The sequence below is a fragment of the Homo sapiens genome, chromosome 9, assembly GCF_000001405.40.
Source record: "Homo sapiens chromosome 9, GRCh38.p14 Primary Assembly".
Lineage (NCBI taxonomy): Eukaryota > Metazoa > Chordata > Mammalia > Primates > Hominidae > Homo > Homo sapiens.
This window is the reverse complement of record NC_000009.12, coordinates 68,845,959-68,862,375: the sequence shown is the minus strand read 5'-3', so window position 1 is coordinate 68,862,375 and position 16,417 is coordinate 68,845,959. Positions and strand designations below refer to the sequence as shown.

General features: G+C 40.7%; 1 protein-coding gene across 14 annotated transcripts in view, besides 1 other annotated feature; it reads right to left on the bottom strand.

Moving 5' to 3' along the window:
• The window catches only part of PIP5K1B (phosphatidylinositol-4-phosphate 5-kinase type 1 beta), a 303,937-nt gene that overhangs the window by 146,801 nt on the left and 140,719 nt on the right, over positions 1–16,417 (bottom strand). The gene's annotated exons all lie outside the window — the stretch shown is intronic.
• Positions 14,380–14,559: an enhancer, noted in NCBI's record as "active region_28441". NCBI's record gives its function as "activates an Ori minimal core promoter by ATAC-STARR-seq in GM12878 lymphoblastoid cells {active_cell/tissue: GM12878}" and the evidence as "EXISTENCE:reporter gene assay evidence [ECO:0000049][PMID:35858748]".

Genomic DNA, 16,417 nt, shown 5'->3' with positions numbered 1-16,417 from the left:
TCTTAATGACTTAAATACTGTTTCTATTCAGATGGCTCGCAGATTCTTTTCAATCAATTGGGATGCTGTTCTGTCAACACGAATGCAGTGTATACAGAGCCAGATTAATATCTTACAACCTCTCCACACCACTTCTGAGACTGGCTTCATTTCCCAAGGCAGTGTCATCTTCAGTTATCCAAACTTGACCTCCAAACAGACTACATCTAGAGCAGGGCTAGGTCTCTAGTCCATCTACAGACTACTTTCTCATAGGGGCATCATTTCATCACTTTGCTTATTCTACAATAAAGGTTATGTCACCTTTAGTGTGAGGACGACTATCTACATCCTTGACACTTAAGGAGGTAGAAAAATGTCTTCGTGTTTTTCTTTTTTCACATGCCCTTTTATTTAAGATCCTAGGGCAGCAAGATGGCAAAAGACTAAGACTTAAGCCCACAGTGCATTCAGTGTTTCTTAAAAAAAAAAAACAAAAAACAAACAAACAAAAAAACCCCCTGCTATTTTAATGCTCCCTCTCGGAGCTCTGCAATGCCACCATTTGGCGTCAGTGACCTTTTGTACCAGTAGCTCTGACTTTTAAAGGCTGAAATGGATTTTCTTCATTTTAACCTTGCATAAAAACTCAAAAGGCATCTCTTCTCCCATGCGTCACTCAGACTGGTAAGGCACAAGACGTGACATAAGCACTTCCCAGAGGGCCCGATACGCCACACTGTTCTAAGCCAGATCTATCAACAGGTTCACATGCTGCCCAAGTGCTCTGCAGCCCCCGCACCGCACCCCTGACGCTGCTTTCCAGAACTATCTGTATCTGCTTAACTCACAAAACCACCACGATAACATCATTTTAACACTTCTTGGGCTGGAACAGCCTGCCAAAGAGAGTAACCAATTCTTGTCTCCACCCTGGCAACAGAAGGTAGTCAAAGCTGTGACTAGTCTACACCTAGTGTTATCAAACTTCAGGAACATGAGAATCACTGGGTATACTTGCTAAAACAGATGACGGTCATGTCCCCAGAATTTCTGATTCCAAAGGTCTGGAGTGAGGACCAAATATATGCTCTTGTTCTAAGAAAAAATCTTTCTCCTCTGGTGTAAGGTTAAGTTTTGAGTCCCTGAGGAGTAAGATTTTGAAAAGAACCCTGCTGTTATATATTTAGTTAAATCAAAAACAGACTGGTAATAATATTACTTTCCTTTCAGAGCATTTAAATTTCAGGTGCTCTGATGGGAGAAATAATAAAAGTAGTTATTAATCTTTTTTGACCAACTAATTTATGCCAGGCACTTGATATATGAATAATAACAATTATGATCATAATCTATCATAATCATAGCACATACTAATGTAGTGTTTACTACTAAATGGCAGGCACTGTTCTAAGTGCTTTCTGGTTATATTAAGCCTTTTATCCTCACGACTGTATGAGGTAGGCACTCTTACTATTTCTATTGGCTCAGGAAGGTTTAGCAACTTACACGAGGTAACACAGCTACTGACAAGGTGAAGCTGGGACTCACCTCTAGGGAGGCTGGCTCCAGAGTCCCAAGTTACACTCCACTGTCTCTAAATCAGAATCTCCTCACTCATTTGACCCTCTCCAGAACCGTGAGGCATAGTAACAACTGTTCCCATTTTACAGAGGTGGATTTAAGGCTCAGCAAGGTTAAGTGACTTGCCCAAGTCCCTTTGCTAGTATGTGGTGGAGTCTGACTGCCAAATTCAGGCTGCCTCCATATCAGTGTTTGCAAAATGAGCCTAGAATCAAAGTCGGAAGTTCTCTTTTAAGTATGAATGTTTGACCTCAACAAAGCAAAAGCTCTGAGAGAGCCATTCCTTTTGGTGAAAAAAGGGTAAAAATTTTATTTCTTCCAATCATACCCACCCACGGGTAAGCCAAGGAAAAACTTGTAAACTTCTTGGTAAAGCTGTACAAACACCATCGTTAATGTCACCACTGGTAACATGGGGACTATTAACAAAAGGCGGCATTTTGCTGACATACTAGGAATGACACCTCAAAGTTTCCTCCTCCCCAGGTCTGTGTAAAAATTAAATGCTTTAATAGTGATATATTTGGGTATCACTAAAAAGCATCTTATATATGGAATCTAAAAATGTTGAACTCGAAGTAGAATGCCAGTTACCAGGGGCTGGTTGGGGGCTGGGGGCTTGGGGAGATATTGGTCCAAGGACAAAATTTCAGTTAGATAGGAGGAATAAGTCCAAGAGATCTATTGTACAATATGGTGACTACATTAATAACAATGATCGTATGTTAAAAATCACCAAGAAAGTAGATTTTAAGTGTTCTCATCACAAAAAATAACTATGTGAGGAAATGCACACTACCTCAATTAACTAACTCAACAGAGCCATTTCACAACGTATACATATTTCAAAACATCATGTTGTACACAATAAATACATATAATTTTTACTTGTCAATTAAAAAAATAAAATAGAAAAAAAGCATCTTGTCTGCTTTGTGGAAATGTCTGAGGCACATCCTAATATTAAGCCAGATGTACTTTGAAACTGTGAAAAAACACTGTGAAACACTACCTGGAGTGTCTCTGATGAGATTAGTAAATCATGATGATGACAAAGAACCTTCTGTGTGAAGTGTTGGTGATTGCAGTATTAGAACCAATAGTCCTTTCCCTGAAAACTCTAAGCCGCCAGAGCTCCCTTCCTTCCTCCAGGATACCACCAACAGACCAGTGACACGGTGGTGGGTTGCCGGCTTTGCACAACTGAGCTTCTCCACTTTCCTCTGCATGGCTTGGCATATGCTCTAAAAGTGCTAGGACAGGACTACTGCCCCTTTGAGTGCCAAGGGGAACCTTTGACTCCTTTAAAACATATAGGTTTAAGTTTCAGAACACAGCAAACAGAGTCTATTTTTAATTCAGGTTTTTGCAAGGGCTAAGTGGAGGCAATATGTTGCCTGGATACTAGAAAAACCTCTAAAGCATTTGATACTTGGAGAAAGGGAGAACCATATAACATCATAAAGGCAAACCACAAACGTTTAGTTTCACAGCTCCTCTGTATTAACCCAAACATGTTCAGATATGATGGTAATACTAAGAGGAAAATGAATATCAGCTTGCATTTGGGTAATATGTTATGGTTTTCAAAGCACTGTCTTTTAACGATCACATTTGATTGTCACAACTGTTACATAGCTACATAGGGTTTCTAATGCCATAGTATAGATAAGGAAACCGTGGCTCCAGGAGATGAACTTGGTCTAAATCCCTTAGCTAGTGTGTGCATACGCTGGTCTTCTAGAAGGCTCCCAATACGGCATTCTACAATTTTGCTTTACTTACCGGAGTTTTCTCTGCTAGAGATGGATCTGATAAAAGCTGAGAAGCAGCGAACAATGAGATAATAATGATGAAAGTTACAATAAGACCAAATGCCTAAGCAAACCATCTCTTAGAAAAGCAATGATCTGACAAGATTTTGACGTCCTTACATCAAAACTGCTTTCTACAGCACACTATCTATAAAATTAGGTCACTTAATATGCCATCTGATATCACTGGCTTTAAAAGGAAATATTAAAACATTTCATGTCAACAGCATTTTTCCACCTAAGGTGAATGGATGAACAAATGTTGGGATTATGGCCAATATAGATGTTTGCAGAGTGATTGTTTTCAAAAGCACAAATCTGATCATGTCAGTGCCTTGCTTGAAGCCCTCTAATGGGTTCTCAGTGCCCTCCCTGGAGGATTAAGTCCAAACCCCTTAGCTTAACACTGGAAGCCTATCTTAGAATATTACTCCCTGTCTGCTTCCCACCAACTCCCACGCCTGATATATATTTTAAAAACCAAATACTCTATCCTTTGAGCAAGCTGACCTTATGAACCCCTAAAAACTACATGTGAAAATTTTTGCTTGTGTGCATTTTTACCAGGGATGAGGTCCAATGCTTTCTCTGTTTCTGAGAAGATCTATTTTCCCAAAACCATAGATTTTGAGAGTCTAATTCTAAATCAGAGATATTCACTGACAAGGTGCCTTAGACTAGGCCATAAAGAAATGGTTCAGTATCACCTGTCAACAGCAAGAGAGGGCCAGGTGCAGTGGCTCACGCCTGTAATCCCAGCACTTTGGGAGGCTGAGGAGGGTGGATCACTTGAGGTCAGGAGTTCAAGACCAGCCTGGCTAACATGGTGAAACCGCGTCTCTACTAAAAATACAAAAATTAGCCGGGCATGGTGGCGCATACCTGTAATCCCAGCTACTCAGGAGGCTGAGGCAGGAGAATTACTTGAACCCAGGAGGCAAAGGTTGTAGTGACCCAAGATGGCGCCACTGCACTCCAGCCTGGGCAAAAGAGCAAGACTCAGTCTTAACAACAACAACAACAACAACAACAACAACAAAACAGCAAGAGAGTAATTCTTATATGGGTGTATGGGAAGGGAGATGCTGACCAGCCTCCCCATTTATTTATTATTTCTCCTTCATTCCTCTTCGGTAACCACCCCGGTTCTACAACATATGCTGGAGTGCAGTGGTATGATCACAGCTCATTGTAACCTCAAACTCCTGGGCTCAAGCCATCCTCCCACCTCAGCCTCCCAAGTAGCTGTGACTTCAGGTGTATGCTACCATGCCTGGCTAATCTTTTCAATTTTTTGTTGGGATAGGGTCTCATTTTATGGCTCAGGTTGATCTCAAACTCCTGACCTCAAGAGATTCTCCTGCCTCAGCCTCCCAAAATGTTGAGATTACAGGCGTGAGCCGCCACACCTGGTCCACGTTCCTTCATTTCTACAGCTCAAACCCAGCTCCAGGTTCTCCCTCCTCTCCGTGAACCTATACTCAAGAAACAAGTCATAGTCCACTTATTTGTCCCACTGAGAGAATTAAGGAGAAAGAAACAGGGATAGATTCCCACTGAGAGAACTAAGGAAAAAGAGAGAGAGATTGCATGAAACTGGTTGTAGGACTATGGAAATTATACAGTTTGTGGGTAGGCAAACCTCCTCCTCTCTGAGAGGAAGTGGGACCACCTCTTGCTTCTGGGTTCTTCAAATCATTTCTCAAGTTCTTCCTTGTATTAGTTTTCTGTTGCTTCTATAATAAATTACTACAAGCTTAGTGGCTTAAAAAAATGCAAACTTATTATCTTACAGTTCTGGAGGTCAGAAGTCCTAAAATCAGGGTTTTGACAAGGCTGCGTTCCTTCAGAGACTCTGGTGGGGAATCAGTTCCTAGAGTCCACCCGCATTCCTTGTGGCCTCTTCCTCCATCTTCAAAGCCAGCAGAATTGTTAAATCTCTGTCTCCCTCTGACCTCTGCTTCTCTCATCACATCTTCTGTGACTCTGATCTTCTCACTTCGCTTTATATGGACCCATCTGGATAATCTAAGATAATCTCCCTATCTCAAAATCTTTAACTTAATCACACCTGCCAAGTGTGTGAAGTTATTGGCAATGTCTTCTTAATAGGTTCCAGGGATTAGGACATAGATCTCTTTGGGGTCCCATTATTCTGTGGATCACACTCCTCTACTTCAGGATTGACCCTGGCATTTTTTCCCGTGTTGCCCCCAGCAGAGAGAAGAGGTTCCCTCAGAACCCCATTCAGTCAGAGGCTGTTCATTCTGCCAGCAAAGATCTGAGCACTTAGTATGAGCCAGGCATTATTTTAGGCATTGTGCGAAGCATAAGCCGAAAAAGAGACGTGGTTCTTGCTCTCATGGGAGTTTCTAGTCTAGTGGGGGAAAGAGACATTAAACAGACAAAGATACACATGCATAAAGACAAATGAAGTCAGTGACAGAAAGAACAGCGTGAAATAATTGAGGTCAGAAGGGCGGAGACCCACTCAAGAATGATGGAGTCTCAGAGGTCTCTCTGAGGAATGATCTGTAGGCTGAGACCTGAAAAGTGAGAATGGGCCAGTCAACAAGTCGTGTCAACAAAGACTGGCTGTGTCCTTTGTACAAACTGGGGACATAAAGGTGACCTGAACAGAGTCTTGCCCTTAAGGAATTGACATTTTGGATTACTATGTGTGGTGAGGAAAGACAAAGCACATTAGGAAATTAGGGGAGTTGATTTCCAGGGATAGAGAAGCAGTAAGGTTCGGGGACCTGAAAGCAAATCATATGAGTTCATTAGTCGGGTAACAGGGAAAGTGCCAGAACTGGAGGCTGGAAAGACTGGACAGACTGAGATCTGGGTCTTATAGGCCATCCTAATGGTTTGATGTGTTTCAATGAGGGAACAGCATTCTTATTTGAAAAGGTTCACTCTGGCTGCTACTTAGCGTAGCAGGAATTGATTCCCTGCTAGAGCCTCTGAAGGAACGCAGCCTTGTCAACACCTTGATTTTAGAACTTTTGACCTCCAGAACTATAAGATAATAAGTTTGCATTGATTTAAGCCACTGAGCTTGTAGTAATTTGTTATAGAAGCAATAGAAAATTAATACAGGAAAGAACTTGAGAAATGATTTGAAGAACTCAGAAGCAAGAGGTTGTCCCACTTCCTCTCAGAGAGGAGGAGGTTTGCCTACCCACAAACTGTATCATTTCCATAGTCCTACAACCAGTTTCATTGGAGGGATTATAGGCAGGAAAGTGATTGGGGGCAGTTGTAGTGGTTCATATAGAGATACTGATGGCTTAGAGAAGGGTGATGAACGAGAGGATGGGCAGAGGAGGTGGATTTGAGATATATTGGAGGGAGGGAGACAGAATTTGCTGCAAACTAGAAATAAGGGACAGAAAAGTACCAGCAATGCCTCCTGGCATTTTCCTTCAGCAGTTGAGAGGACTGAAGTCACTTTACCAAGCTGAGGAAACTGAAGATGGTACCTATTTTGGAGCAGAGATTCAGAGTTCCATTTGAGATGCTAATGAGACATCCAACTGGAGATGCTAACATACAAGTCTGGAGCTTGGGATAGAGGTTAGAGAGAATATTTCATTTTGAGAGTTGTTAGCATATAAATGATATTGAAAACCAAGGGGTTGAATGAGAAAACCAAGAGAGAGAGGGGAGTATCCAAGGAGAGTCCTAAACCACAACAACATTTAGAAAATAGATGGAAGGAGGAAAAGCTTTGGAGGAGACGTAGGAGTGACTAACACAGTAGAAGAAAATCAGGGAAATATGGCTTCACTGAAACCAAGAAAAGAGAGTTTGAAGAAAGGGGTGACAACCGTCTCCACAAGTAGCTCTTTCATCTGATAATATAAATACTACAACTTGATGGAATATCTAAAGCTATGAGTCAAATTCTCTATATTTTTCTCATTCATATTGTTAATTCATATATAAACCTAAATCTGGATCTAGCATATTTGACAAAATTATTTGATGGACTCGTCAAATTATGCCATCACTTAAATCATATTTTAGAAGTGATCCTTAACTTAGAAAAATAAGATACTATGTTAAGTTTAAAAAGCAGGACACAATACAGATCATAAAATTTAAACAAGAAAAACCAAGTACACGTGTACATATCCACGGAGGAAAATAAGACAGGAAGGAAATATACCAAAATGTACAATTATTTCTGGATAGCGGGATATTAGGTGATTTTTGCTTTCAAGTTTTGTACTTCCCAAGTTTTCTAAATTTTATGTTTTATATATTGGGATGGAAATGTCCTCCAATGAAGGTATTGCTACTATGTTTTAAAATACATTTTGAGGCATGACAAAGGCATGTTTAGGAGTTGCTCATCTTTTTAGCTTTTTCTTTTAGGTCAAGGCCTTAATGCAACAAACCTATGTAATGATTGTGCTTTTATAAAATGTAATCATAACAAGTTTATTTTTGTCTCCCACTGTTCCTCTAAATGTATTCTGGGGTTAGATTTTTCTTCTGCCCCAGCATGAAATATACGGCAGGTCTATGACCCTTCTGGTGGCTTCTGGAATAAAAGGTCCTGTCCAGGTATGGTGGCTTGCACCTGTAATTCCAGCATTTTGAGAGGCCAGGGCAGGAGGATCACCTGGGCCTAGGAGTATGAGATCAGCCTGGGCCGCATAGTAAGACCTTTTCTCTACAAAAAATCAAAAAATTGGTCAGGCATGGTGGCGGCACCTGTAGTCCCAGTTACTCAGGAGGCTGAGGCAGGAGGATTGCTTGAGCCTAGGAGGTAAAGGTTGTAGCGAGCTGTGATTGTGCCACTGCATTTCAGCTTGGATGACAGAATGAAACCCTGTCTCAAAAAAAAAAAAAAAAAAAAAGTTTTCTGTTTATTCCCAGTCATAGATCTGTAAAAATGGTCTCATCTAGACATCTGGTATGTACAGTCCAGCTTAATAATAATAATAATAATAATAATAAAAACTTATATATGCTTTTGGTAGCCATCTCTCTCTTCCCCCAGCTTGCCTGGCACAAGCCGGCCTCCAGCAGTGGGAGGGGCTTGGGAGCCTCTCTTCTCTTTTCTGACTGGTTGCTAGAGGGAGGAGAAAAGAGGTAGGAAAGGTGTTTTTTGAAGAGTACAGTTGTAAAATGTACCAGGAACTGAAAAGGCTGTCCAGGTATGTATCTTTTTTTCTTGTGAGGTGCTCTCATGGGGTCTGCAGTTCTCCCCCGCAAATGGCTATTGCATTCCTCTGCCTGGTAGTTTCCTGTTGTTTTTCCAGGTCTTCACATAGACAGGACTGGGGTGACCCCACATTAGCTCTCTCTAGAGCTCAGTGTCCTCCAATGGTCACATATCATTTGCCTGGAACACCCACCCTCCCCAAGGAGCCTTTTTTGGTTTTGCCGTCATCAGAGCAGCTGACCAAAACTTCTCTTCTGAAAACTTTCTGATTTTTCAGAAAAATACTATAGTCTATTGCATCCTCCAGGCTCCAGGGAGCACACAGCACACTCTTCAGTGGTCTCACAGAAGCCCCCTTCTCTAGGCTTGAGATGGTGGGCAGACCCTCTCCCAAGCCTCTCCCTTATGTGGGTTACTCATGACATATCAACAACTCTTTCCAAATTTCCTCTTCCATATCTCACAGTGGGCCAGCCAGGCCCTTTCATAGAGTGGGGTGATCATTCAACTGGTCTTAGACCACCTCCTTCCCCAAGTTCTACATGGCAGGCTGGCACCTGAACTTGGAATATGATTATGCTTCCATCCCTTCAGCTTGTATTGTGTGGGACTGATTCACAGGTCCCGCTGATCACATGGGGTTTGGGCCAGCTGCATCAATGGATTGCTCACTGTGTTCCATTCCACCTGCCATGTGACTGCCAGACTCATCATTCCAAGGCTCTCTTTCTGTTTTTCCTTTTAAAACCACCTCCCAGCATAGAAGCCTCCACTAATTTTTAACCATCTGTAGAAATGAATCCAAATTCTTTGCTTGGCCTTCAAAACTTTCTACAATTGAGTTCCTGTTAATGCTAAATGCTGTAATAAATCAATCCTCAAATACCAAGTCCTATAAAAAAAAACACACCCCTAAAATTCAATGTCTTGATTCAAGAGAAGTTTATTTTTTGATAGGACCTAGTCCACAGTGAGTGTCTCTGAATGATAATCCACTTGCCTTTGTCAGGTGATTCAGAGAGCCTGGCTCCTGCATCCCTGTAGCTCTAGTAGCCCCTAGGATCGTAAAATCCCCCCAGTCCAGCTGGCTGATAGGAGAAGTGAGAGAATATCCACTTCTTCCTACCTTTGCCAGGAAGTGACAGTGCAGGATATCTACCCCAGGCCTGTCCCTCAACCCTCCTTCACCCTGCTCTGTGCCCTGGGTTACCATCAGTAAGGCCACATCAAAGGGCTCCCTCTGGCTTCTAGTTGGGTTTGGCCAATGGGACACCATGGCAGAAGACTGGACGGAGGTTTGAGAGTGAGGTCAAAGTGTTTACTTCCATCCCTCCCTCCTTAAGGGTTTGACTCGGTCTGGTTGTGTCCTTCTAAAGGTTACAGCTCCTCTCTGTGGATCTTTCCAGATGATTCCTACTCTGGGATCTAGAAATAGTGCCATTCTCTTACCTTTTTATGGCTTGGGGGGCGGTGTGGGGGAGGCGGGTAACAAGGTACATTTTGCCTCAAGACACTGAACTACCCCTTATGGTTTCCCTGCATTTCTCCCACATCTTTGCAAACAGAGTCTTTCTTTTTTTCTTTTTTAAAATTTTACTTTGAGTTCTAGGATACATGTACAGAACATGCAGGTTTGTTACATAGGTATACATGTGCCATGGTGGTTTGCTACACCTATCAACCTGTCATCTAGGTTTTAAGCCCTGCATGCATTTGGTATTTGTCCTAATGCTCTCCCTCCCCTTGCCCCTCACCTGCCGATAGGCCCCGGTGTGTGATGTTCCCCTCCCTGTGTCCATGTGTTCTCATAAAAAGAGTCCCTCTTAAATTCCTTCCAAATTATCCGATTTAAGTGTGTCATCCTTTAACTGCCCAGGTCCTACAGACAATGACTCATTCATAGCACACCAGTAAGGATAAGCCACACGGCCTGGCTCAGATGCAAGGAGGGCCGGCTCTGCAGCTGCTTTCCAGACCCAGCTGTGCTTTGGAAGAGGGGGCACAAACTCTGGTGGACCAGTTACTGTTTTGGCCACAAGCCAGAGATCCTCTTGCCTCTATGCAAATCCACCACTTTAGCCAAACTGTCCCACTTAAACTTGCCTTGTGATTTCTGGTCTCTGCATCCACTGATCTCTGGGCTTTCCATGCTGTCCTTTTCCATTCTCTTTTCAGTATCCTACCCACTCTTCCAGGTCCAGCTTTACCAATCATGCCTCTACACAGCCTCTGTTCATTACAGGAGCTAAAACCGGTTACTCCCGTCTCCCAGTATGAATCATTTCATACGTGACTTTTGGGGTATTCTGTTATTTTCATGATTGGCAACGACATTTCTGATATAATTTCTGCAGCATCTGCATTTTCAAAAATAAGAATACTGGAGTTCCATTAAATGATGGCCTTCCCTAGGCTGGCACGAACACTCCATGTGGTGAATTTGCCTTATAACAAGGTTATTCTGACACACTAGGCACTAAACAACCTTGGAAGAAGCCCAACACAGATCCACTTTATATTTAACTTTCCCTTTTTATCAAGCAGCCTTTTAACAAGATCCCAGTATATCCATCTGTTTGATAGAAGATTTGCTTCTCAACATTTAATAGGAGAGGCAGAATAAAGAAAAAGTGTTTCATGGTTTCTTTGAAATGATCTCCACCTTAATTTGATTGGCAGCAAAGCATGTTCCCTCATTGGAAAGGAAGAGCATGTTAAGTAAACACTCCTCATTAACAGAAAAATACTGTACTCTTAAAGTATTCATAATACAGCAGCATCAAATTATGGACACTTAATTGCCCTAAAAAGAGACAGGCCATCAACTGCAGATGAAATTCTTGATTTAGGATAGAGCTGTTATATTTGCTGTATATATTTGCTGTTATATTAGTCTTTCAGAAATATTACACTTTAAACTGAGATATTCATTATAAATGTAACACAGTATAATATCCTTAATACTATTCTTACACACTAGGGAAGAATATTTCATTTGTCTGTGTATTCAAATAAAAATTGTTATTTATTTGATATAAATATCAATTTAGATTCAATAGATTAAAATAAGACAGGATTGACTTTTCATCCTAGAATCAACCAAAATAAAATTTGACACAATCTTAGCATGTTTGATTTCCTGGTAGAGGACTTGTTATTTGAAAGGTTATATATTAGTTCAGTGCTAAGCACTGTTTTGGGGGAAATAACACAATGCTTATAGCGGATGTTACTGGTTGTCTGCAGCATCTATTCTCTTCTTACTTAGCAGTTGTTCTTCAAGAGGCTTGACTTTACCCTCAGGGACATCTGGCTGTGTCTGGAGACAATTTGGGTTGTCACACCTGGGCAGTGCTCCTAGCACTGATTGGACAGAGGCCAGGGATGTGCTAAACATCCTACAATGCACAGAACAGCCCCCCTCAACAAACAATTATCTAGCCCAAATGTCAATAGTGCTGAGGTTCGGAAACCTTGTGATATAGTAATGGATTTCAACTGGGTATTTTGCCTGGTTCTCTTTTAGGTAGGTATCATCACATTACTATTTTCTGGCTATTGAGCTGGGACAGGAAATGATGTGTCCGACTCCTAGGTCACGTCCTCACCAGGAAGGGGTGTGCTGTGTACAGATGTGATGGACAGAGATGAAGTAGGCTTCTTTAATCGCTTTTGTTAGCTATACATTGAGAATGGTAGAAAAACAAGATAGAAACCTAGGCCCCTGAATACCCTGCAGAGGCAAGTAAATGACCTCTGCACTTCATGCGTGTGAGAAATAAACTTCAACTTAGCTTAAGCCATGGTCATTCTGGTTCTTGTTTTGATCTATATTCCAAGCGCATATACCCTATGGACCTATAACCAAATGCTTTTTACCTGAAAAACAATATAGGCTCAAAAATATATCAGACTGAAAGATAAATATCCATAAAGATACCATTGCTCAATTTAGAAAGGTAAATTGTAGCCCATGCTCATTGAGAAAAAGTTAAAAAAAAACTCTTAACTACAGAAAGTAAAACACCAATGTGCCCTTCTCACACTTATTCTTGAGGGTTAACTACTGTCAACTGTTTAGTGTGTGTTTGGGGCTTTTTTCTCTACACACTGAAAAATACATGTCTGTATACACGCATTACAGATAAAAATGAGGCTGGGCGTGGTGGCGCATGCCTTTAATCCCAGCACTTTGGGAGGCCGAGGTGGGTGGATTGCTTGAGCTCAGGAGTTCAAGACCAGCCTGGGCAATGTGGTGAAACCCTGTCTTTACAAAAAATGCAAAAATTAGCTGGGTATGGTGGCTCTTGCCTGGGGAGGCTGAGGCAGGAGGATTACTTAAGCCTGGGAGGCGGAGGTTGCAGTGAGCTGAGATCGTACCGCTGCACTTCAGCCTGGGTTGACAGAGGGAGACCCTATCTCAAAAATAAAAATAAAATTAAAATGAGACTGTACTATTCATACTTTGTTTCAGCTTGCTTTTTTTTCCCCCAAATACTATGCTTCCATCTATACAGATCTCATTATTTGTAATGGTTACATAGATTTTCATAGCTTGTATGTACCACAATTGTTTTAACTACTCTCTTATTGATAGACACTAGGGTTCTTGTTCTCTCTCTTTAATAGAAAATAATGTGGTGATGAATATCCTTGTTCATATACTCCTATACATTTATTTCTTGAATATTTCTTCAGCTTTGATTCCTAGAAGAACTGATGAGTTAAAAAAATGCACATTTATACTTTTGGTAGGTACTGCCAAGATGTCTTCTACGGATTTCATCAATTTACATACTCACCAACAGAGTGCTGTGTAAGAATGATTCTATCCTCATACTCCTACCAATACCAGTATCATCAATATTGTTAACTTTTGCCAGTCTTGTTGTTTTAGTCTCCATTTTCCTGATCACTAGTGAGACAGATTCTCTTTTTGTGTATTAATTGTATTATTTGCTCTTAACTTTATAATTTTCATTTTTTTATGGTTATACACTAATAGTCATGTTCAATTATTTTACAGCAATTAAAGTTAAACTGCATTTGTAAAATAGTCCCCATGGAAGCTCTAAAACAATAAAATTTCCATGCCTTCTCTTAAGAGTTTTGATTATTAAAATTGTATGCTCTCACAGGGCAGAAACTATAGCTATTCTTTATCATCTACCAAATAAGGTTCTTGTTTATTCCTTTTTATAATAAAATTTTACACTTCTCTAGCCTTTTTCATTTAAAATTTAAAATAGTCCTTTAGAAGAATTTACACCCATATTCACAATTAAATATATACTTTTGCAATAACAAATAAGGAGTGTGTTCCCTAATTGGCTCACTGGGATGCTGGACTCTTGGAGGAACATGTAACAGCAGCTTGTGGGTGAAGTGGGGGTTGAGAAACACACCTAGGCAGAAAGATATGGAGAAACTGCAATTGTGCCTGCCTACCTATGTCTTTTAAAGTCTTACACTGTAGGGCCAGAAAGGACCTGTAAGATGGGCTTCCCTGAAGTAAGAAATGATCAGGTATCTTTAGGTGGAATCTTTTCACATTACGGTAGTACCTTTCTTGCCATAACTCCACTCACTCTTCTTTTGATGGGGAATGAATGGAATATGTTCATGGCTCTTTTCACCATTCTATTAGCTAGCTGGCCTTTCCTGAGTACTTACTGTAGTCCAAGCCTTGTACAAAATTACTTACTCTTGATTTACATAAGATGAAACTGGCCCAGAAAGACAAATCAGCTTATCCAAGGCTACACAGTGAGGAGGTGGCAAAGCTGGCCCTTGAACCTAGATCTGTTAACCCTGAGTCCATGCTCATAACTGTCATACCTGATGTCATAACCCCACATAGAATTACAGAAATAGCAGCTTTGTAGTTTTGTGTTTCAGTTTAGCACAGGCCCAGCTAAAATATGTGGCTACTCCAACTGCTTGTTTATTGGCTACATGGGCCTGTTTCCAAGCAATACCAAGCCAGCTTCTACTCTTTTAATTTGCATTCTCCTTTGACTGGCAAATCCATGGTTAACTCTTTGCCCATAGGTGTGGAGATGGGTCAGGGCCAAAGTCAAACCTCTGCTCTACAGAGTTCTCCAGGGGCATATCACAGCCCTCTGCCATGTCAGGTGCACAGACACATGGGCACTAATTGAAAAGGTGTCCTATATGGGGCCAAAGTGGAAAGGTTTCACTATAACATTGGGAATCTTTAGAATAGGAATTAGAATCTAGGCTGTTTACCAGCTTTAAGTAAAACAAGATTAGGACAACCAACCTCCCCTCAAAGAAACCCTCAGCAACCTCCACCCTCTCATCCATCCCTTCTGGCCTAATGTTATCCCCACCTACACACACACACACACACACACACACACACACACACACACACACACACACAAAACCACTGCTGTTGTTGCTGATTTAGGGAATGAGAGGGGATGATTATAACTCCCTTAAAAAGGTGGAAACCAGCATGGAAACTTAATATACTCTGGAAATATCAGTGGCATACAAGATCTGGTTGTTATCTTTTACCGCCTATCCCAAGAGACTGCAAACCTTTCTTTTTCATCCCACCAACTGACCTCTTCAGTTTTAAAAAGAAGAATGTATTTAGCTAAGGAGGGGAAATAAACCAGCATCTCTCAGTGCTCTGATAGTGTTCACTGGGCCACTCGTCACTATTCTGCAGTTAATTAATTCAAGAGATAAATCTCTGACTTCATAAGACAGGAGGACTTAATTGCTATCCATTTACCCAAACAAAAAGAAAAAAATAAAAATGAAGCTTCTTATTGGGGTAGGGATCACTGGATGTTTTTTCCCACTTGTGCCTCAATTTTGGTCCTGCAGTTTTTTTCTTGATATATAAAAGACATAATGAGGACTATAATAAATGGTAGTGAAACAGGCCTAGAAGAAATCAAAATAGTTTTTCTCTTCCTTTCAAATCTCTACCAGTTTAATTCTTCCTCCTCTTAATTTTCATAGTAAGCTGTAAGGGTTGATGATAGGGAATTATACATACATGTATTATATCACAGATGTCATTATCTATGTTAGAGGAATAAATAACATTTACGAAATAGAAAAGCAAAGCTCAGGGATCCAAGGTTTAGAAGGAAGAAAGGGGCAGGGTAACTGTTGCTAAATGAGATGGAATCATACATAGAACAAAAACACTTTCAAATTGACGATGCAGTGATTTTATAGACTGACAGTGAGAGGCATCACTTGCTGTGACTTGCTGTTTACCAATCTCAAATCATTTTTCCATATGCCAGCCCTAAACACTCCTTATAGAATAGATCCAGCAGATGTAAGGACTAAGGAATGACATCAAGAAGGGATGAGGAAAATGGCTTCTCTCTAAATTCATAAGAATTTAGAGGCCAAGCTGTCTTTTCTGAAAGAGTGGGGGTGAAGACATCCCTCCTTTAATAATTGAGTTATTTTAAATGACTGGCATAGCAATTGTTTACAGTACCATGTGCTTTGTAGTTCTGGCCATATTTCTGGAAAACCACAGAAGAACAATGCCAAGAGAATTTTAAACAAAACAATCTGAAACATTAATATCAGTATTTACCTAAAGGGGCTTTAAAATTTAGAATGTAGGTGTTTCCTGGGTAGAAAAAGACTGGTTTTGAGTATTTGAAGACTCTAATGCAATGACTTCCATTGAGATATTTTAATACACATATATTTTATTGTGTTAAGTGCTTATTTTGTGTAAGATTAAGTTATTTGCAACATTTATTTCTCACCATAACCCGTATATTACCCCCACAGATGAGGAAACTTAAATTCAGATGGATTGTACATATGAAAGATAAATCCTAGATCATGTTTT